Raw genomic sequence first — 23683 nt, 5'->3', positions numbered from 1 at the left:
CTTCTATGTCAGTGGCTACAGTTCATGAAAATTAGGATAAGCTCTTTTCTCTTCTGCTGGCTAGCCTCTCTTTTACCAAAATATCAGTGCGTGTGTCTCTATGTGTGTGCATTTGCTGTGCATGTGTGTATGTGTGTGTGTTGCGGGGGTGGTCTGTGCTTATGTTTGCATCGAGGTGGAGGGTAGTGTTAGAGGTATGGGGCTATGAGGGGGGACAGCACCATCCAAATCAAAGAGAAAAAAAGAGGAAAGAAGCAAGAGGGTGCATCAATCAGCACCCCCAAACCCCTCCGAGGGGATCAAGAATAAGCTTGCCATTTCCACAACTTCAGGTTCCTGGGAGGTTGAACAAATAGAACAGCTTGGTCATTCTGAGTACCCAGTGCTAAGAAAGGAGCACCAGGGCTCACGGGTTTGCTTACCAGAGTATCATCGCTTCTGGCAACACTCATGTTACTTCTGGACAGGAATGACCTGGATAATCTTTGGCACAGTGATATCAAGCGAACGGATTGCTTTTTTTTAAAAAAAAAAAAAAAAAAAGGGAGGGCGGGGAGGAAAAAGGCAGGGTGAGAGGAGGAGAGACAGCTTATGTAACAATTGTCAAATGAGTACAAACGACAAAGCCTGCGAGATCGTGTTCATTGCTATCAGCACACACTCTCCCAGGGTGGGCAATCCTACAGCAGAATGGGTTGTATTTGCTTAAAGAATAATTTTAAAGGTCTTATAAATCAAGACAACAGGATATAGAGATTCTCCTTCCATGTTTCATTATTGAACTACAGAGCTGGACACCCCACATCCTTTCTCTCTCTATATTTTCTTCTCTGCTGTTTGGAGAAGGTGATCTGACCCTTGCAGATCACCCTCAGAGAAGCACAGACTGCAGGGGCCTTGCTCTGTGTCCTTTGTGCCACATAAGCAGTGATGGTAGACAATGTGATAACCAAAACGCAACAGCTGTTGGAAGTGAACAGCTGGGGGACCTCTTAGTCTATAGAACAAACATCTCTGCATTTACTCTCTAAGGCAAAAGTACAGTTAAAGAATGAGAGCGAGAAAGAGAAATGGTTGCTCTCTCTCTATTTTAAGCCTAATTCTAAGGACTTTTGGGAATCTAGTGCTGTGGTCTTCCTCATCCCTACCACGGCACCCCAAAATTGGTAGGTGTGAAAACGAGGTACATTTCTGGCCCTGAGCTGGGAAGACACGGTAGGTACCCACTTCCTCTAGGTTTGACATGACCCTGGGCACAGGAAACCATCCCATCACCTTCTTAGCCCTGAAGTGTGATTTGTTCCAGGAGGTCTGCAATGCCTTCAGAGCAATGTCCTACCCAGCCCCTGTGGAGGCCATCCACACTGAGGAAGGAGAACAGGCCACCCTGCAAATGCTCACGGCCCCACCCCACCCCCACTCCAACCACTCACAGATAAAGGCTGGGCTGAGAGACCCACTTACCCAAGGTACAGCACAAATGTAATCTCATGCTGCTTACCACAAAGAATGAATTTATTTAAAATGTGGCTTGTAGTATTAGAAAAAAATTTCACTATAATTTTACAGTGCTGCTATAAAAATTTGCACTGAGAATAGTTTTGATGAAAACAACACAAAATTACATTTAATGGTATCAGTTAAAGTGACTAAAATATTGTTTTTGCTTGTTTTTCAAAATAGAGTAATGGTGCAGAACACTACAGGGTGGATTAAAAAGAGGAAAGGATGTATCTTCCATATTACCAGTATCAGAGGAGATGCACCCTGACCACACACTACTCTACACAGGAAACAGAATTTGTTAATCCCTCCACAACAAACAATCTTACTTTCCATTTTTTCCGGGCTGCAAACTTCTTGAATTTCTCCATGTTTACTGCTGATGCTTTTCTACTAAGTGCCTGTTGTGTATCTTTAGGCTAAAATAAAAATCCAAGAAAAAAAATTAAAGCTCTCAAATTATGAAAATGTGTTATATGACAATTTTTTGAAACATCTCCTTATTCAGGATGCTTACACATTCACCTTATTAAATTAGCATAAGAAGTTGGGATAACATGGAATACCTAGGCACCTAGTCTTAGCGGGCTCACTCTTCTATCTCAGGGTTTCGTATCATCCATGGACACTGGGGAGAAGTAGAGCTTGGGGTCAAACTAAATCACAACTTTCCACACTGATAGTTTGGGAATGGCAATATTCATGGTGAGGCTATGTTATGAGGCATTTGAACTTGGGTATCATCAAGTAATGTAGAGCTGAGAGGGATCTCAGAGGTCAGCAAAGTTAGTTTGGCCTATAGCAGGAGAATTCCTTGTATTGTATCTTTTTCAGTAGATGTATTTAGCTTTTGTCCTCCACCTCTGGGAGGAGGAGACACCATAGCTGGCTAGGAGAACCCAGGTAACTGCTGGGAACTTGCACAGCAAAGCTATTTGCCCCCAGAGCCTGATTCTGTGATGTTCACTTCTTTATTTCATGATTTTATTCTGTAACTATCATACTTTCCCACCCTTAGCCCTTTCTGCCCTGGATTGAAGATACTTTAATCCAAATGTCAACCAGGCCAGGCAGGTAATGTAAAGGTGTAATGTTCCAGGGCGCCCTGTTCCCTAGCACCAAGGCACCTGTGCCACTTCCCAAGGCCACGTGGAATGAGGGCTCAGTGTCAGCAGATCTTCAGATTTCCCAAGAGAAGCTGGAAATCCAGATTTGATTGATATTTACATGCTGGAATCAACATAAAATGTTAAATACACTGTTTGGGCCAACACCCCACAGGTCACTCCAAACACAGTTGTCGAGTGGGCTTGACCTTCTTCAGTTCCTGCTCTGTGCTCGCTTATTCCTCTCTCCCCACCTCTGGGATCATTAGTATACAGTCTAACCTGTCAGCTTTTCTTAAGATACGATGCAAATAGCAAACTTAACACTCCAGGTGTGACCTGTGGTTAGCAGTACTCTATGATACATGAATACCAGGGTGCCCAAACCAATCACATAGAAAGTGATCTAAACAGTTTCGTAATATGCAACTCACCTTGATCCAGGGATGCTGCAAACTATCTTGAATTGTCATTCTCTTCCTTGAGGGGAGGGGGAGAAGAAAAAAAATGCTGTGACCATAGCAGCAAATACTAAGGTTGTTTTCATGCTGGCTGGGCCTGCCAAGCAGATACTGTGGAAAATGCAGTTCAGGGAAGAAAGCCAAAAACAACATCGGTCTTTTTGTGATTATTTCACTGTGCCTGCAGGGACTGACTGAGTGGGGGCAGAGGGCCCTGCTTGCATTTTCTGAAGCGTTTCACATGGCATGCTGCCCTTTGGCAGATGAAGCAAGCAGGGTCTGAGGAACGTGGCCCTGTGCATGGAACAGACACAGGCTCTGGGCTGGCTGAGGCCGTGGCCAAGCACCTTTCAGGAACGTGGACACTCACTTTGGATCCTTGACCAGAAGTCTTCTTATGAAATCTTTGGCTAGGGCACTGGTATTACTGAAGTATTCATCCTCAAATTCGTAGTTGACAGCGGATACATTTGCTAACGTTTCTTGCTTAGTGTCTCCAAGAAATGGGGAGGCCCCACTTAGGCTGTTAAAAATAAAGTTGGGCATAGAACATTAATGATGACCCCTTGGTGTTGTCATTTTGCTCCTATAACATCTGGAGTGTGGAATAAGATTATAATCTGGTGCTCGAATAGTCACAGTTTGATTATATTTCATAGGGCTTTAACTGTCAGGAGCAAATGCTTCAGCTTCAGGCAAAAGGATTCACTTAACAAGTTAATCTGGAACAGCGTCTGGTAGTTTAAAGGAAACCTGTTTTCTCGGCAGTGATGGACAGCTATGCTTTCTTTCAGTGATTATGCTACAGTTTCTGATGACTCATTTCAAATTAGGAGAACATGTTTAATTAGTATAAACTAAACATGTTTTGGGGGTGTAAAATGAATATGTTTGCATCAAAAGCATGCATAAGCTGAAGAGATCAACACAGCACATTTAATGGTTAATTAAACCTATGGTCTCATAGAAGAGAAGAGAGTATGAGTTGTGAATTCTGATACTTACAGGATATAGGTTATTACCCCGATACTCCTAAAAACAACACAAAACAAACAAAAAAACATGTCAGAAGAATAGTCAAATAAATCAGAAAGCAAACAACACCAAGGACATACTCCTTACCACATATCTGCCTCAAGACCAAGAGGTTCATAGTTGACTATCTCAGGAGCTAAGAGGAAACAAACACTCATTTAGCTTGGGAGGAAGCAAACTAACCGATTCTATCTTCATGCAACAACCAGGAACATGTAGCAGGGAAAGAATCTTCTAGCAGGGGAGGTTTGCCAGAATAATGTTTATGAGACGTAAATGACCACAGGAGCAAAGAAACTTACCGACAAACTCTGGAGTCCCAAATATGTTTTTAAATTCATTTCCAAAGTCAATTTTATGGGCCAACCCAAAGTCAATGATCTTGATCCGAGGTTTGGGGACATTTCTATCCAAAAGCATTATGTTCTCAGGCTTGAAAAAAAGAGAGAGATAAATAAAAAGCTATGATATGTTATGCTGAGGACAAGATGGCAGAATAGTTCTTCTCTCCAAAAAAAAAAAAAAGGCCAAAAAGTAGGGAAGAAAGGGTGGTTGGAAGAGAACAGCAGGAAAATACATGTCTTGCTCTAGGTTCTCCCTGAAGCAGGCCTGAGACAAGGATTCGGATGCAAGTGGGTTATGTGGGAGGGGACACCAGGAAACACTTGGTAGAGAAAGGAGATACAGGAAACAGAAGGAAGCTGCTACGAGGTGTCCTATCAAGTGGGGGTAACTGGGGGAATGGGAGAGGAAAAGGAGAACTCAGTGTTATTCCAATTGTAGCAGGAGGGAGCTGGGGTCTTTATCCACCATTTCTCCATCCTCCATGGCTGACAGTTGCTTCTGTGGACATTTTTCTTTTGCATTTCCAGCTCCCAGGGCCAGAAACAAGATGCCAGGAAGAGTCACAGGTATTTGCAACAAGCCCTCTGTTAGGATGTATATGAGTGTGTGCTTTTGCACATTGTTTGTGGGGCCAGCAGGGACATGAATGGGACATTGACAGCTCTGCTACAGAAGAATGGGGAAAATCCTCCCTCCTCTGAAATCCTATCCCAGCTCTACTGGTCTGAATCAACTACTCGGATGGAGCACGCGCTGCTTTACCAGACCACCTCTTCCTGCCTTGAACTGGAACTTCCCACCATTGCCACTTCCTATTGCTCCTGTCGTGTCTTCCCTTCCCAAAGAGACCACACCTCTGTCATGGCTGGGAGGACGGCTTACATGCCCTTTCATCTCCAACAGCGTCCTGCATCCAGCCAGGCAAATGCCCCAATTAGCCAATCTGAGTTTGGTTTGCTTGATTATTGGTGACAGAGTCAGGCCATACGCCTTTGCATCACTCAACACATTTTCTATCTTAACATGCCCAGAGCCACAGAAGGAACCAGTGCCAGTCACTAGCTGCTGGCTAGAGCAGCCCCCTTACTAAAAAACCTGGCTCCTAAGACCCCTTGTATTCTTTACCAAGAATTCCAGAATGTAATCAATTATCATTAAGCCTCTATCCCACAAAAAGGTTAGCCATCCCAGTGGGGGGCATGTATCCTATGCTTGCCGATTTATAGTGATATTTCTGTTTGTTAAACTGGTACAGGAAAATCATGTAACTCTTTCAGATGCCTCAATTTTTCTTAGCAGAGAAACAACCAAGGCTGTGATCTGCACAAGCTTCTATCTGGCTTACACTTTGAAACGTACCTTAAGATCAAAGTGGGCGATTTGAAGGGAGTGCAGGTAGTAAACACCATTAAGAATTTGTTTGAGAAATTCAGTTGCTTCCTCTTCAGTTAAAGATTCCTTTTCAGCTAAGAAGTCAAACAGCTCGCCACCTGCAACGCTGAGAACCCGGAAGCAGAGGTTATTGGTAACAACTCTGTTTCATATTGATTCCTTCTCTCATAGACTATTGGTGCGCTCAAACTTCAGACAAGAAAACAGCATAAAGACTATGCTGAAACCGCCAAGCATGGATTCAGAATTCTCTGTGCAGGTTGTTGACAATTCTGCATTCAGACACATTTGTGCTTGAAAGCACTTGGGAACCATTTTCCTAAGGTTCCGTGTTCACAAATGAGAGGAGGGGCAGAGATGAAATGCTGTGAAGAAAATATCAGTGTATCTTGAAAACATTTTAATTAAACATACTTAGAGGTGATGTCTTAACTCTAATGACGAGAAAAAAATCTGCAAGCCAGCTTTGTACAGAATTTATAGTGTATATCTTCTTATTTCAATTAGAGAGTACCTGAAAAGTTCATAACTTGCATGTTTAATTAATTCTTTAAAACTCAAATTCACAATATATGGTCTGATAAGGGTTTTTTCCTCTCTTGTCTAGTATTGGTTTGTATGTAAATACTAACACATTTATAAAAATCACATTTAGTAGCCTGGGCGCAATGGCTCACACCTGTAATCCCAGCACTTTGGGAGGCTGAGGCGGGCGGATCACAAGGTCAAGAGATCGAGACCATCCTGGCCAACATGGAGAAACACCGTCTCTACTAAAAATACAAAAAACAACTGGGCATGGTGACGTGTGCCTGTAGTCTCAGCTACTCGGGAGACTGAGGCAGGAGAATCACTTGAACCTGGGAGACGGAGGTGGCAGTGAGCCAAGATTGTGCCACTGCCCTTCAGCCTGGTGACAGAGCGAGACTGTCTCAAAAAAACAAAAAAAAAGAATACATTTACAAAAAAAGCAAAATGTATGTTGTTGGTTGCGGATTTTTTTAGTTTATTTCTCTGTCCAGACTGTAAGTGGGTGGAGGGGAGTGGTCAGAACCTCCCACCCCAGCTATTGGCTACTGCTGTATGCCCCACTCCCCGCCAGAGCCAGGCACACAGCATGCATTCAAAACTTTATCAGGTGGATGGACGAACAAGCTCCCCTAAAAACTCCACGATAGCGATGAATGGCAAATAACAGGGAAGTTTTAATAAGAGTTTTTATAAGTTAATCTTTATCAAGTTTAACCATATATTCACAACATAATAATTAAGTGCAATTATGCACAAACTGCTGTATTCATTATCTCTCTTAGGGCAAGAGCGCTCCCCAAACATTATACCTTCCACATCTACATCCATTCAGAGTAAGAAAATTGGTGCTCATAAGATCAGATAAGAATGACAAAAAAGCTGTTTTCTTAAAAGTTTCAGATCCCACATGCCTTCACCCTCCAGGTCAGTGTTTTCCTTAGCACGGTCTAGAGTCCATGGGTATCAGAATTATTTGAGGATGCTTTAAAAATGAAGATTCTGAGCCTCACTTTCAATCTGCTGTGTGAGGGCTTCCAAGAATGGTGACCAGAAAACTCAGCATCTTTAACAAGCACCTGAAAAACTGAGACCATTTTCCCACGTCTTAATTCCACGCTCCTGCTGCAGGGCCTCCCACTGGTTTACGGGGATGGTGGAGTGACTCTCCTATCCCCAGGGGCCTGGCAGAGGTAGCCACACCCTCCTGTGAGCAGTCCACAGGCCTCCCCTATCCTCCAGGGGACACAGCAGGGCCTGGGCCCAGCCAGGACATCCAGGAGTCCAAGCGAAAGGTGTCCTACATGGACCCTGCCTCAGCAGTGGCCTTGCTCTCCTCCTGACCCTTCCCTGCACTCCCCACCCTGCTCTTGGGAGATGCAGTCTGCCCCCACCCTCTCCCCTCCCAGGTGTCCTTGGCCTCACAGCCCCCACACTGTCTGCCCACGGAACAAGGCAAGGCCTCCCGCTTCTCACTTTTGCATCTTATTCTTAAAACAAACAACGGGGAGAGAAAATCCTTCAACTATAGGGGGGAAAAAGTGGGAGATTGTGAACCAACCTCACCCAAAGAAAGCTCTCCCATCACACCTGGGTCTCCAGCCCTGGCTTCTGTGCTCTCTGGGGCGCCCCGCACCACTGGGCTGACTCAGGCACCGTGGCCACGTGATGTGGAGAAGTCAAGTGCCTGCATCCAGTCCAAGTCTTAACTTCTGCCACGCGCTCACCCTGAAACCCGGAAGGTTACCCCTTCTCTTGAGCCTCATTTCCCCAAAGAGGAGTCATAAGACCTCTTCCCTTGAAGGTTATGAGGATGAAAGGTAATAGACATGTGTAACTGGCAAGGCTGGCACGTGGGTAAGGTCCAGCTTGCGGGAACGAGTGTTGTTATAAAGAAGGCCACTGTCACCCCTGTAGCATACCACTGCTTCCTACAGGATCCAATATGAAAGCCCCTTCCTGCCCGCTCCTCCTCCTAAAACTGGTCCATTGGTTGAGCCTAACCACTGTGCTTCCCAGGAAGAAGGTGAGGGGAAGGAACTGAAACTTCTGCTGTGAATGTGGTGCCCAGCCGCCGGCTTTCTCTCCGTGGCCCTCTTCAGGGCCTCCCGAGCCCACCTCACTCGCATTCTGCTTGTGTTGTCTTAGAGTACAGAGATGCATTTTTCAGACAATGAGAAACGTCAGGAGTTTGGCTGCCTGGTTGGGGTGAATCTTCCAGCACCCACACAGCTGGCGCAGTCTGCTGGCCCTGAGTCCTTTCCAGGGACTCCACTGTCCAGCCTTCTGGCAACCCCATGCTGCCCTGGCCTCAGGCTTTGCCCGCTCTTCTCTGGCCAGCTTTCTCTCCCTCCCTGCCAACCTAAGCTTTCTTCAGACCCAGGATCTCCTTCTCCTGCCAGCTCCGTCTTCTGTGAGGCAGGATGGCAAAAACGAGGGGACCATGGTTCAAATCCTGCCAGGGCCTCCAACCTTGCTGAGCCTCTGACTCCCCTTCTATAAAATAAAGGGTAACATCATAGCTTACGGAGTCATCCTGAGGTTCCAGGACATGTAGCGACCCTTAGTGCTCAATAAATGCTGCTGTCTTTCTTCCCATGTGGCTTCAAACCAGAAGTCCTCCCATGGCAGCAGGGGTGTGCAGCAGGTTCTTTGGCGTTGGGGTGGGTAGAGCCCATTCCCGAGGTGTCACATTCCCACCATGGCCATCTCAAACTCCCTCCCCACGTGATGTCAGGGACCGTGGGTGGAGTTGGGGAGGGACAGGCACTGCAGCGGTGACCTGGGTGAGCTGGGATTGACACGGCACTGCCGAGCAGCCACCTGGCCTGCCATGGTGTTCCACATTTTTCCGAAGACGGTCTGACAGCATCTCATCCTCATGCTCTTCTGCACCGTGATTGTGCCATCCTCCTTCAGGCAGTGGGCGGCATCTGTGGCTCCATCTCTTGAATCTGGGCAGGCCCCATGATCACTTTGACCAATGGCACAAGTGATTTTGCCAGCCCTGCTGTGGCTTTTCATGGACTGGGGGCCTCCAGGTCCCACCTCCTGAAGCCCTCAGGTAAGATGCAAGAAGTACGACGATGCCAAACCACTGTGCCACGTGGAGAAACCCAGGAAGAAGAGATGTCCTTGGAGAACAAGGCCAAGGAGCCTCGAGCAAGGAAGGCACCTTAGAAGGGGACCCTCCAGCGCAGCCGAGGCCACAGAGGTCAGAGACTGTCCATTCAGCAACTGATCAATGAGGGAACATAACAGGGCCTGCCAAACTTCCATCAAGGGCAGATCCTAAATATTTTAGGCTTTGCCAGCCTTGCAGTCTGTCCCAACTACTCAGCTCTGCTAATGTATCATGAAAGCAGCCACAGATGACATGTACATGATGGGTGTGGCTGTGTTCCAATAAAACTTTAGTTAAAAAATAGGTGGCAACCTGGGTTTGGCCTATAGGCCATAACTTGCTGATCCCTGATATAAAGACTAGGTCATCACAGCCCAACCTGGGGCAACTCTCAAGGGTCATTCTGGCCCCAGAACTCCCTGTTGGCCAACTGGGGCTGCCACTAAACCCATTCCTGCCCCCTTCTCCTCTTCTCCAAATCTTGATCCTAAGTATAGTTCTTAATAAACACCATGCACACTCTTCTCCATCTCAGAGTCTGCTTCCCAGGGAACCCAAGCTACACCCCACTGGGTCTGGGATAGTTTTTTACATAGCCATAGAAGGCTAGAACATGCACCATCTTGAACTGGGCTTGTTTACTAGGCTCAGCCAATGGAAATTAGGCTTGCCCTTCTCTGGCCTGGTCATCTCGTGCCTTATTCAGTATTTGCGTCCTCAGAAACTCAACTCCACAGGAGTAAGGACAATGAATAACCCTGGAACCCCAAGAGTTAGGGACCAGGACTGCAAAGTGTAGTGACTGATCAAGACTGGGAGAAGGAGAGCACTAGTTGATCCTCTTAGTTTTCATCATTGACCCTTCTCACAAGTCCCTGTTCAAATCTCAACTTGTTATGAAGCAGTCCATGTCATGGCTGTCCAGGCAACCAAGTCCTTCAGTTAGACATTAGAAAGGTTAGGAGAGTCCCTATCCCACTAGGTCAGGACTTATCAACTGATGCCCAGAAGGCCCTATGTATTCACTCCATCCCCCCTCACCCATACGCACATATACTCATCTTCCTTCATATCTACATATGTACACATCCCCTTTCATCCCTACATACCCATCCCCCTTCATCCCTACATTTCCTTCATTTCTACATATGGACTCATATTCCTTCATCCCTACATATGTACTCAATCTCCTTCATCCCTACATATATACTGATCACCCTTCATCCCTACATATATACTCATCCTCCTTCATCCCTACATGTACACTCATCTTTCTTTATTTCTACATATGTACTCATCCTCCTTCATTCCTACATATATATTCATCTTCCTTCATCTTACATATATACTCATCCTCCTTCATCCCTACATATATACTCATCCTTCTCATCCCTAATGTATACTCATCTCCCTTCATTTCTACATATGTACTCATCCTCCTTCATCCCTACGTATATACTGATCACCCTTCATTTATATATATATATATATACTCATCCTCCTTCATCCCTACATGTATACTCATCTTCCTTCATTTTTACATAGGTACTCATCATCCTTCATACCTACATATGTACTCAACCTCCTTCATCCCTACATATACACTGATTCTCCTTCATATCTACATATATACTCATCCTCCTTCTTCCCTACATATATACTCACCCTCCTTCATCTCTACATGTATACTCATCTTCCTTCATTTGTATATAGGTACTCATCTTCCTTCATTTCTACACAGGTACTCATCCTCCTTCATCCCTACATATATACTGATCACCCTTCATTCCTATATACATACTCATCCTCCTTCATCCCTACATGTATACTCATCCTCCTTCATCCCTACATGTATACTCATCTTCCTTCATTTCTATATATATTGTCATCTTCCTTCATCCCTACATATATACTGATCACCCTTCATTCCTATATATATACTCATCCTCCTTCATCCTTACATACACACTTATCCTCCTTCATCCCTACATGTATACCCATCTTCCTTCATTTCTACATATGCACTCATCCTCCTTCATCCCTACATATGTACTCATCCTCCTTGTCCCTACATGTATACTCATCTTCCTTCATTTCTACATGTGTACTCATCCTCCTTCATTCCTACATATATACTGATCACCCTTCACTCCTATATATACCGATCCTCCTTTATCCCTACATATATACTCATCCTCCTTCATTCTACATATATACTCATACTCCTTCATCTCTACATACATACATACCCATCTGGTATTTTATATATATATACACACACACATACATATATATATATATATTTCTACATATATACTAATTAACTTTCATCCTTACATATATACTCATCCTCCTTCATCCCTACATATATACTCATCCTCCTTCATCTCTACATATATACTCATCTTCCTTTATTTCTACATATATACTCATCCTCCTTCGTGCCAATTCATGAAGGCAGATGTTTTTGCCATGAACTCTGCTTATAAAATCTTCAGTAATTAAAATAATTGAAACTAAATGATTTCAGCAAATGTTTGGGAGCATGATAAGCATTGTTTGGTAATTTATTCCCTGTTTGGCCCCCAAATCTCTGAAGGTAGAAAATGACTTGAGGATTTTTCACATGCATGCTGAGAACCAGAACTCAAATGCTCACCATGTTGCTGAACAGCAGAATCTGGTTAACAAGGGAATCAATAAAAAAACCTTGCACTTTTTCTCTTTGTTCCAAATTCTACAATTGGCTTAGGAGAAGGGAGGCTGATGGAAGGAGAGATGAGCAGTCTGTGCAGCAGATTTAGAAAGCAAGTTAACCTCCTTTATTAGGGCTTTGAGTCAGTGTTTTAAATTATGGCTTTATCAGGGAAATCGTGTGAAATGAATACTAATGAACATTTGCTGTTTTCACCAAGAGAGCTGGAAAATACCATGGTTCTTTCTCCTCCCAACATGTCTTTTACTACCACCAAAGCCTCCCTAAAAGTTGGCCACGACAGAAGGTATTTAGGACATGTCACTACATTAAAAACAAAGTGGGCCTTTTAATAATGCAGGAGAAGGTATTGCAAGATTCCATTTTCTAAATTAAAACATTCTGGAGGGTTCCTGACTTTTGCTAGGAATTGCCCAAAATATAACAAGACTTGATTTAGGATCCGCTTTGGTTATCATCTAAGCTGCAGAGGACCCCTGTCTACATACTAATTACCCCATGAGGCCAATTTCAAGGCAAACATTAGGATTCTTCAGAGTGGAAGAAATCAGGCACCAAGTATGCTCCCCCAGGGCACACCTTCGAGGCCTGGCTCCTAGGTCACAAAGCCCTGGGAGGCAGAGGCGCCAGCTCCAATTCTGGCCTCAAGGGGTGGGTGACTTGAAGAGATATAAGGAGGTCATATCACCTCTCTGGACCTCACCTTTGCTCTATGTACAATGAGAGGGTTGAGTAACCAGGTTAAGTGGTTCTCTAACCTTAGTGCACACAACAATAATTTGGGAAATCTTTTTAATGTAATTTCCTGGTACCTACTTCCTGAGTGAGGCCCCAGAATCTGCATTTTAACAAGACTCTGTTCATCCTGAAGCAGAGATGACACGCAGATAAGCTCATTTCTCAAGGCCCTTCCAGCTCTGGTATTTTAAGATCCTCCGATCTGTGTGCAGATGTGGCAGAGCCTCGGTTGTGTTCCCACCATACTACCCTGTTTCTTGCAGGCCCACAACTAAGGGGCATTTCCCAGCTCCTCGAATCCAGGACTACTTCTAGCCAGTAAAATATGGACCAAAATGATGTGTGCCATTTCAGATGCGGTCCCCAAAACATCCGATGTAATCCCCCACCCACACTCTCATCTCTCTCTTTGGCCACCAGAACACAGGTGACCCAGCACAGGACTCCAAGAAGGACCAGGGGGCAGCAAAGGCTAGGTAGAAGGAATGTAGATCCCTGAGTCACTGCCTGGAGGAGGTCATCAACCTACCCTATCTGCATGAGACTTTGAGTGAGTGAGAGATAAATCCTATAATGTTAAGCTACCAGATTTTGTGGTTGTCTTCTGTCTGCTTTAAATAATAAAACTATTTAATCACAAGTAATAATGTAATACATTTTATAAATTAAAAGAAAGTGACCAATGCAAAGCACAGAGCATGCTAACTGTTGCAGTTATCTATTGCCATGTAACAAATCTCCCCAGAACCTTAGGCTTTAATCATGACAATTATCTTATGGGTTGGGAATTCAGGAAGGGTTGGCTGGGCAGCTGTGGCTTAGGGTGTGTCATGGGGTTGTAATCAGACAATGGCTGATGCTGAAATGGCAGGGGCACTGAAGCAGCTCGGGGGCTGTCTGGGCACCTCTCTCCTTGTAGTCTCATGTCTCTGCGTGGTCTCTCCATCTGGGCTAGTTTGGGCTCCCTCATAGCACACTGGCCTCAAGATAAGTGGACTGTTCACAGGCACGTCAGGGCTCCAGAGCAAGTGTCCCAGCACGCAGGTGGATGCTGCCTCAGAAGTCACACAGCATCAAAAGGGCCTATCCAGATCCAAGGGAAGGGGGATTTAGAATCCAGCTCCTGATTTCAGGTGTTTGGCCCTATAGGTAGGACAGCAGATAACACTGAAGCCATCTTTGGAAAATATAATGTCAAACTGACTATGATAGAGGAACTGAAATTTCCAATTTTATTTGATCCTAAATGTATACTTTGAAAGAGTTAGGCCCAGGCATGGTGGTTCACACCTGCAAACCCAACACTTCGGGAGGCCAAGGCGGGGTTGCTTGAGGCCCCAAGTTTGAGACCACCCAGGGCAACACAGTGAGACCCCCATCTCTACATAAAATTTTTAAAAACATATTCAAAAAACAATAAAAAATAAAAGGGTTAGGTAGGTATAGGTAGTGTATTAGGTTGCCGGAGCCACACTAACAAAGTAGCACAAATTGGGTGGCTTAAAATGACAGAAATTTCAGGTTACAAGTCCAAAATCAAGGTGTCTACAGAGCCATGCTCCCTCTAAAGCTTGGAGGGGAATCCCTTCTGGCCACTTCCCAGCTTCTGGGGCTTTGCCAGCAATCTCTGTGCTCCTGGGCTTGTAGACGAGCATTCCCATCCCCGCCTGCAACTGGCACTTTCCCTGCGTCTCTCCCTGTAGACCGCCCTCCACACACGTCTGTGTCTGCATCCACACTCCCCCTTTATGAGAACACCAGTCATATGGATTAGGGCCCACCCAAGTGCCCTCATTTTAACTTGGTTACATCTGCAAAGAATGTAACCAATGAGAAGAATGATCTCTTTCCAAAGAAGATCACACATTCTGAGGTCCTGGAGGTTAGGACTTCAACATTATTTTTTTGTGGGGGAGTATCCAATCCAACCCATAATAAGTAATAACTCCTTGCAAGCTGCAAGCAAAATATTACAGGTTGGCTAAAGCAATTCAGGAAATAAAGAGAAGCAAGGAAAGGGGAAGATAATTAGAATCCACTGAAGTGTTTTCTTAGCCTTGCATTTGGATTCCCCTGTGAAGGAAGGGCTCATTCATGTACTACTATAAAAATGTTTTAATTCAGGTCAGAAAAATGTGGATGAGAAATATATATCTGGTGCTCTCCTTGGGGTTTAAGTAACTCCCCAAGCATTTTGAGATGATTCCTCCTTTACCGTAACTATCCTGGTGTATACAGCGTGAAGGAGTGAGGTGGTCCCCAACTACCTCTTGGCTTTGCCTCTAAATAAACCAAGAACTACAACTCAATGCTCCGTCATCACCACTGTGTTGAATGTTCTTTCCTGTTAATTTAGGGGAAGCCTTGAAGGGTGTTCACACGCTCACCTCTCACATTCTAATTTCAGTTCCTTGGGTCACTGGAGGACTTTGCTGAATGAAAACTGAAGCTGGGACACAGGAAGGGGAAGAAGGAACACAGGGCATTCCTTTCTGCATTTGTCGAACCGGAGTGAATTTAAGGTTGGAAATAGATTCAGGGGGTCAGAGACATTTTTTGCTTCTATGCTCTGTTTCCCTCAAATTAAATGAATCATATCAACGAAGTTCCTAACCTTAAGGCCTCCTCTGAATTAGCCCTAGCTTCTTTAAATCCAAAATGCAAGCTGTATCTGAATATACAAGTTCTGTCTGTTTTCACCTCAAATTCAAGTTCAAGTAACAACTTAAAAGGAGCCGCATGGATTCTCATAGAACAGCATGCATGCGTGGCACTCAAAGCTCATGGGGGAGGGGATCTTTCCTTTTACCCAGGGAGGTTGTGTGAAAGCAGGAAGGAGCCTCCTGAAGGTACCTAGAACAAACCCCTATGGGAAGAACATGGCTCAAGGGTTCAGAGGCACTGCAGGCAGTAGCCTGGTTTGCATCGGGCTCTGTGTCCTCAGAGAGGTTAAGTTACTTTCAGAGGCACAGTTTCCATGTCCAGAAAATGGGATATTAGTTCCTATGCTTCTAATGGGATTGATGAAGAGAACATGGCTAGGATATGAGCATCTGGCACATGGCAACGGTGCAATATTCCCCGCAGCAATCCTTGGCCTGAACTCCTCACAGCCATAGGTGAGAGAAACCCTTGAAGCTTCTGTGAGTGCCTCTTGCCCAGGTCCTAGGTTTACAGGCATGGGATTCTGATGTGGACCTCATGCTAATGACAGAATAAGGCCCACACTCCTGTGGTTGAAGAGTAGGGTTTTGCTGAAACAGATGGACATTCCTGGGGCCAAAAATCTGGGGAAGAGGTTGGCTCTTAGACAGGAAACAGGTAAGCTGGAAGGTGGGCCATGGCTACATGGGAGAGGGGACACTCTGTCTGCATCTTTCCTTTGGGTCTAGACACAGTGGAGTTTAGACATTCCTGAGAGCTGCCGGGGGCAAGGGGAGAGGGAGCAAGCAAAGGGGGTGGGTGGCTGGGCTGAGCAGGGAGGAGGTGTTGGCCATTCCAAGCTTGGCACAAGAACCCTGCGATTTATAAGCAACACCGCCTACCTACTGTGACTCTATTTTCCTCCTGTCATTCTCAGCTCTCAGTAAAGTCTTATTTAAAATTCTTCAGTTGTCCCAGCTGTGCAATAATAAATTAAGCAAAAAGCATTTTCCTGCTTAGGCAAGGGTCAAGGGGACCTGAGGCCAGGATGGAGATCACAGACGTGATGAGAGAGGACCCTCAGGAGCAAGGTCAACCTCATGGGCCGAGGCAACCACACCCAGACACCCCTCTCCATGTGGGCGCCTCCCCATGGCCAACCTGCTGGGTCTGAACTTGCTGAGGAAGATAGTAGGTTCCTTTACAGCCACTGTTCTGTTTGGAAATAACTGAACTTTGGCTTGGTCTCTTAAAAATACACTGACCTTTAGAAAAATTTAAACATCCAGCTATAAAACTGAAGCTGCTTCTGAACATCTCCCCTCCTCCCCAGTACTGGCCCTCCCCATCCCTACCTCCCCAAAAGCATGCACTATCACGAGTATGGTGTACAGCCCTCCGGAACTTTTTATATGAAGTCTATGCACCATATGGCATTGTTTTATGTACATTTTAAGAACATAAATGACATCAGAGTCTATGCATCAATCTGCAATTTGCTATTCTACCTCAGCAATACCCATTGCTATTAATCTCTTGCATCCTCATCATTGTAGCTTAATGTTCACCTGAAGGTCTAGATAAGAGTTTATTTAGTCATTCCCTAACTGATGGTCTTTACATCCATTCCAAATTTTCACTATCACAAACTAGAAGGCAATGATTCCCTGTGCACCTGACTACTCCGAGGATGTGACAGGTTTTCTAGGCTCTAGGATATCTAGCCCAGTTTGGAATTTCTGGGTCAAGGTGATGCTCGGTTGCAGGCTGGGCTGCATAACCTTATATTCCTCCAGCAGCAGTTCATGAAGTTGCTTTGGCTTCGCGTCCTCACTTGCTTGTTGTTGTTGTTGTTGTTTTTTGTTTGTTTGTTTGTTTTTTAAAGAGACAGAGTTTTGCTCTTGTTGCCCATGCTGGAGTGCAGTGGTATGATCTCAGCTCACTGCAACCTCCACCTTCCGGGTTCAAGTGATTCTCCTGCCTCAGCCTCCCGAGTAGCTGGGATTACAGGCGTGCACCACCACGCCCAGCTAATTTTTTGTGTTTAGTTGAGACAGGGTTTCACCATGTTGGTCAGGCTAATCTCAAACTCCTGACCTCAGGTGATCCACCCACCTTGGCCTCCCAAAGTGCTGGGATTACAGGTGCGAGTCACTGCAAATGGCCCTTGCTTGGTATTATTACTTTTACCAATCGAATAAGTGGAAAACATGAACCAATGTTTTATCATACACTCCCCTGCTTAGTGGCAAGATTGGTCATCTGTCATGTTTAGTGGCTGTTTGTACTTGAGTGGGTATAAACTGCGTGTCCACATCCTTTGCCCATTTTCTTACTGAACCATCATAGTCATTAACTTTAATTGACTGATGGGTACTCCTTACATATTCTGGATACCCACGCCTTGATCTCACATATTCTAAATGTTTTCTCTCAATCTGTTATTTGCCTTCTAACTTTGCTTAAAGTGATGTTTTGTTAAACGGATGTTTTAAATTTGAATGCGGTCAAACTTATCAATCTTTCTGCAGAAATCAGGATTTTCTAAACCAAATGTGAGAACAATAAAATAGCATGTGGAATTTAGCAGCTGTGTGGCCCTGGGCAAAGTACTTAATCTTTCTGGGCTTGTGGATGTTAACAATGGCTGCCTGTGGGCCCAGAGCAGCAGATGGCATCTCACAGAAGTCTCCAGCACTACTGTGCCTACCCAAGACCCTGCAAGTCTCTACACTGGGAGCTACTCGAGGGCAGCGTTATATACTGATGATCGCCTGAGCCCATCACAGTGGAACCTGGGGCTCCTGAGACAGCTGACCGTGTGCATCTCCTCCCCACTCTGCATTTAGTGATGCTATGCTGGCAGCTGGAGACTGGCCATGTGGTAGCATTTATACCACAGAAATAGGCAAACATTACCAACCAAGGCTCTCTCCCCTGGGGAGCCTGTTGTTAGAGCTTTACCAGCACACCATAGACTTACAGTGTCCAAGGCACAGCATCTGCCTGTATGGCCTTCAGCTGAAAGCTGCTGTTCCTGCTGATGGACAACTCTTAGTTAGAAAATTCATTCCTATAGCGACCCGAGATCTACCTCTGGTCACATAGGTGCTGATTCTGCCTTCTGGGACAGCGATTAACAAACTGTTTCTGTGAGAGGCTTCCTGGGCCATACACTCTCTTGCATCTGTTCAACTCTGCTATGTATTCTATTTTGCTTTCATTCTTCCACCATTTGAAAATGTAAAAACATTTTCATTTCCTTCTTAAGGACTACACATATGCAGGTGATGGTCTCGGGACCACCGGCTGTAGTTTGTCAACTACTCAAGAACAATGGAGGTCACAGAACGCCAACCACGCTGTGGCCTGCACAGTCACCCTCCCACATCTGAAGATGGTTATCACATGCTCCCTGGGTGTTTTCTTCTCAAGCCTAGGGTCCTGCCATTGTTGCTCTTTAAGTCAATTCCAAATAAAGGTGATTTAGGAATGCTTATAGAATTCGCTTCGCTAGGCCTCTGGCGCTGTGGTGGGCATTGATGTTACAGGTACAGTTGATGGCAAAAAATGGACACAGAAAGCTGACTCGAGGTCAGTCGGGTGCTCTGGCCAACTCAGGAGTGTCACAGGATCTGGAAGAAATCAGGGGATAAGGGTCCTGTCCACTTGCTGGCTGAGTAATCCAGGGGAAGACACTTAACCTTTCTGCACCTCTGGTAGAATAAAGATGGCTGCAAACCCTTTGGCACTACCCATTGAGAGCTGTGGTCTCTTTTGCTGCATCGCCTTGAATCTGAGCAAGTTCTGTGCCTGCTCGACCAATAGAATCTGAAAGAAGTGATGCTGTGCCAGTTTCCAGATCCAGGTTTTAAGAGACTGGCAACTTCCATGTCCTGTTTTGGAGGACCTGACCTTAGGTCTCAGCTGCCATGCTGTGGGAGAGCCCAACTAGCACAGTGGAGGAGCACAGGTGGAGTGGAACCAACAGCCCTGACTGAACTCACAGCTGACAGCCAGCACTACCTTGTCAGTCATGTGGAGGACATCTTGGAAGGGGGTCCCCTCTGAGTGATCTGCAGCATGTCAGGGGCCATCTAAGTAGGGAATCCTCTAGCCCCAGGCATCTGCTCCAGCTGTGGCTGCAAGGAGTAGGGAAAAGGTGTCCCTGCTGAGCCTTGTCCTAATTTCAGATTTGTGATCAAAACAAATGACTGTTGCCACTTCACATCAAGAAGCTTTGGAGTGCTTTCTTTTGTAGCAATAGAATCTCAGAACCCTGCCTCCTTGAGCTTTTGTGAGGATTAAATGACACGATGTATATAATACACCCGGCATATAAAAAGTGCTCAGTGAATGGCAATTATCAGTATTCAGAAAAAATAAAGCTGCTTGAGTTCCCCTCCCAGTCCAGGAACAAAGTGTTACCTCCTATCTGAGGGGTTTTGCTCCTCAGGCCCAGCTTTCTACAGAGGTGGATGTTTTTTCACCGTCTCTACATTAAATGAGCTCAAATGAAAGGCACTTATGAGCAAGGGCATGGCACACAGTCCTTGCACAGGAAATGTTAGCTCGATCCCCGGCACAATCCCTTCCTCTCAGGAACCCAGAACCTTTCATAAAAACTATCTTGTCTTACACCTCCACTCCCAACCCACCCTCTAGCCCATAGCGTCACCACTGCACCCGGTCCCCAATGTCTCCTAAAATTAACAGGCAATTTTATTCCAGTTCCTTTGTGTCCTGCTTGATGATGGGGACGGACTGTCGCTACCAGCACAAAAACCTTATGTTTCAGGGATGTATGCCTCGTGCATGAGGGACCAAACCTGTTAGCTCTGCCAACTGTGCCAAGAAAAGAAAGATCCACATTTGGAAATACTTTGGGATCCCCAAAAGGTCTCTAGCCTCAAAAATGTGGTCTTCCATAGGCATGAAAGACTAATCTGTGAAGCTGCATTAAGGTCCAGCCTGTGTGGAAAAGGAAGATTTTTAATGTAATCACTTTCATTCATAAGTGAAAAAAGCAAAACCATGACTTTCTTTTAGCATCCAAGAAGGAAACAGAATGCTGGATTGGTGAAAAGAAAATGCACCATGATTTATTAATACCAGCAGGCCCAGGAGGATGTGGGGCCAGACCACTTTACTCAGCTGTTAAGAAGGTGGAAGTCATTACCAGCACAGCATAATAAACAATTGTGCTTTCAAGTCCTAGTGGGCCCCTTATGTGATTACCCAACCCACTGACTCAAATGATGGCATGCTCAAATTCAGGGCCAAATGATTGAGTGGCAGTTTGCTGAGGCGCGGATTTTCAAACAGGAGGCTGCAGTTCTCAGCTTGACATGGAATTTTTAAAAAGTCCTTATTATTTATTTTTTTTTTAGAGATGGAGTCTCACTCTGCCGCCCAGGCTGGGGTGCAGTGGTGCAATCTCGGGTCACTGCAACCGCCACCTCCCGGGTTCTAGCAATTCTCTTGCCTCAACCTCCCGAGTAGCTGGGATTACAGGTGCGCCCCACCACACCCGGCTGATTTTTTGTATTTTAGTGGAGACAGGGTTTCACCGTGTTGCCCAGGCTGGTCTTGAACTCCTGAGCTCAGGCAATCCACCTGCCTCGGCCTCCCAAAGTGCTAGGATTACAGGCGTGAGCTACAGCACCCAGCCTATTTTTTTCTTAAATTGAGGAAGCATTATGTGGAATATAAGGAGGCATTTATAAAACAAGCCAACAAACCAAAAGCAATCTTTTTTTTTCCTCTCTTCCCCTTTCAGGGAAGAGAATCTACCTTCCCTCTACCCACTGAATACATCAAAATGACTGGAGTTCTTGAAAATGTGCTCTTGGTTCAGAGACTTGGTTTGTAAGAGACAACCTTCAGGAGAAGACAACCTTTAGTGCTGTTTTGTGAGGTACCGGAGCCTGCTGCTCAGGCAGCAGGGTGACACTCACACCCTGCAGGGTGTCTGGTGTAGGAGGTTGTCACACCTACGAAGGATTCACAGAAACCACAGCCTCCTACCCCAACACTGGGCATTGGCTCAGTTTCTGATTCTCTGCTTGCATTTTTGTTTCCACAGGGGATAGGGAGCGAGGGCGCATGGGAAAGAGAAATGGATGGGGGAGGTACCATAAAAATACTCCAAAGAAATGAAATCAGAATTTGTTAAAGTTCCCAGAGACCTTTTAGAAATGAAAATGGTAGAGGCCATCAACTCAGAGAAATAAAAAAAAAAAAAAGTGCAAGGCAGCCAGCATGAAAGCCATTCTAGAATGGTGGCTCAATGTGCATCCCAAGTCATTCCATGGGCCCAAAGGATGCCCTTGGAGAGAGGTGGTAACGTGTGAAAAAGGGCTCTGATGTTGCCGAGGCTCTACCGAGCCCAGTGTGGATGTGGGGGAACTGCAGATTACTGGATTGGTGATGAGAGGCTGAGGGTCTAGAGTCACCCAGGCCACAGTTCTAACAGGCAGGAGAGGGTAGAGAGGGGTGCTCAACAGTGTCCACTTCAGGTGAAGTTAAAAACGAATTCAGATGAGAAACTATTAGCATGAGAGAAAAAAGCCCAGAGTCAGAGTGGATCCTCAGCTGCCTGCATCAGGAATGCAATTGATTTCAAACCCAAAGCAAGAGGCAGACTCCCTAATGTTCAACATCCAAAGAACTGCAGACCACAGACCACCCTGAGCTCTAGATTTCAAGAGAAACACAGAGTCTGGAAAATACTCAGAAAATGGCACACCAACAATGGGAGTGATACACACAAGGAAGACGATGAAGACTCTTTCCTCCCTGGGAAGGCCAGGGAGGCTGGAAGATGCAGAAATGCTTACTGCAGATGGCTACAGGAATGGAGGAAATCTGGACTAGGTGGTGCAGGTGGGAAGCCCACCAGCCTCTGGGCACGGCATCCCCCAGTGCAATGGCCGAGCCTGACAACCGGGTCGCTGTAAACGGGATGTGGGTGTGTAGAGGCACAGGCCTCTCCCCACACCTTTGGGTATTGCATGGGGCCCTGGAGTATCCTGCTGGACCTTCCAGGTGATCATCTCCAGCCACAAACAACCTCAGCCATTTACCCCAGCACTCAAAGTAAGTGGTCATGACCAATGCATGCTGTCCCAGGGTAGGAAAGGGAGGGAATCCTTGCTCCAGGCAATACTTGGAGGAGGGAGGGTAGAAAGGAAAGTGCCTGACAGACAAACTATAGCTCCATCCTCCAGTGGACACATGGAGATTCCCGGGCTGGAACTAAAGAAAGTGCTCAGGCACAGAGAAACAAGACACTTAACAGCCAGAGTGGCCGCAGCACATGCCAAGTCTCTGGTTGCTTTAATGGCTTCAGCCCAGGCTTTGGAGACCCACAGAAATAATTAGGCCAATCAAAAGTGGGGCAAACGGAAAAGCAGGGGCCTCCAGGCATCTCTTCAGCCTGGGTAATTATAACTGGCACTGGAACAAAAGGCGGCCAGAGTAAACCAAGCAGGGAGAGCCATAGATGGGTTTTTTTTTCCAAAATCAATCTGCCTGGGCTAGTTGAAAACAAGGGAAGGCTATTATCCAGGGAAATACAGACCACCACCAGCTCCTCCTCCTCCTCCTCCTCCCTGTCCTCTTCCTGGTCTTCCTCCTACCTGTCCTACTCCCAGTCCTCCTCCTCCTCCTCCCTGTCCTATTCCCGGTCCTCCTCCTCCCCTTCCTCCTCCCCTCTCCCTCCCCCTCCCCCTCCCCCTACTCCTTCTCTTCCTCCTTCTTGACTGGGCTTAATTCTCCCTGCCCTTCCATGACCTGGAAATCCCAGGACAGAGGACCACCAGCCCATCAGAGGCACACAGCTGATCCGAAGGATGTGCTGCCTGTTCTTTAGCCACCTTGAGACATGGAGAGCCGCAATTTTAACAGGCATAGAGCAGAGCGATTCTTCCCTTAGTCTGAGGAGGGGGAAGAAGGGTTTGAGGAGGAGGAAGCGATGGAAAAGGGGAAAGAGCTGGAATTCACTCAGCAGGTGCTAAGGCTGTCACACGTTTTCTATCCCAGTTTCCCTCTTTGAGCTCTAAAACACCTGGCCCTGAGAGGAGAGGGAATC

General features: G+C 45.8%; 1 protein-coding gene across 8 annotated transcripts in view, besides 1 other annotated feature; it reads right to left on the bottom strand.

The window, feature by feature from the left end:
- DAPK1 (death associated protein kinase 1) overlaps window positions 1–23683 on the bottom strand; it is a 211407-nt gene that overhangs the window by 64744 nt on the left and 122980 nt on the right. For all 8 annotated transcript variants that reach the window (NM_001288731.2, XM_047422887.1, XM_047422886.1 and 5 more), the window contains exons 4-11: window positions 5810–5948; window positions 4408–4537; window positions 4193–4241; window positions 4076–4102; window positions 3441–3593; window positions 3044–3089; window positions 1833–1922; window positions 423–515 (exon numbers count right to left, since the gene is read on the bottom strand). In NM_001288731.2, coding sequence (NP_001275660.1) covers window positions 423–515; window positions 1833–1922; window positions 3044–3089; window positions 3441–3593; window positions 4076–4102; window positions 4193–4241; window positions 4408–4537; window positions 5810–5948 — 727 coding nt within the window. The remainder of the gene's footprint in view (window positions 1–422; window positions 516–1832; window positions 1923–3043; window positions 3090–3440; window positions 3594–4075; window positions 4103–4192; window positions 4242–4407; window positions 4538–5809; window positions 5949–23683) is intronic.
- Window positions 8470–9055: an enhancer, noted in NCBI's record as "H3K4me1 hESC enhancer chr9:90249751-90250336 (GRCh37/hg19 assembly coordinates)". NCBI's record gives its function as "activates a minimal SCP1, AML or CMV promoter by ChIP-STARR-seq in naive H9 embryonic stem cells {active_cell/tissue: H9 hESC(naive)}" and the evidence as "EXISTENCE:reporter gene assay evidence [ECO:0000049][PMID:30033119]".

The sequence above is a fragment of the Homo sapiens genome, chromosome 9 (genome assembly GCF_000001405.40).
Source record: "Homo sapiens chromosome 9, GRCh38.p14 Primary Assembly".
Taxonomy (NCBI): Eukaryota; Metazoa; Chordata; class Mammalia; order Primates; family Hominidae; genus Homo; species Homo sapiens.
The sequence above is the reverse complement of the archived record's forward strand: the minus strand, read 5'-3'. Positions and strand labels throughout refer to the sequence as shown.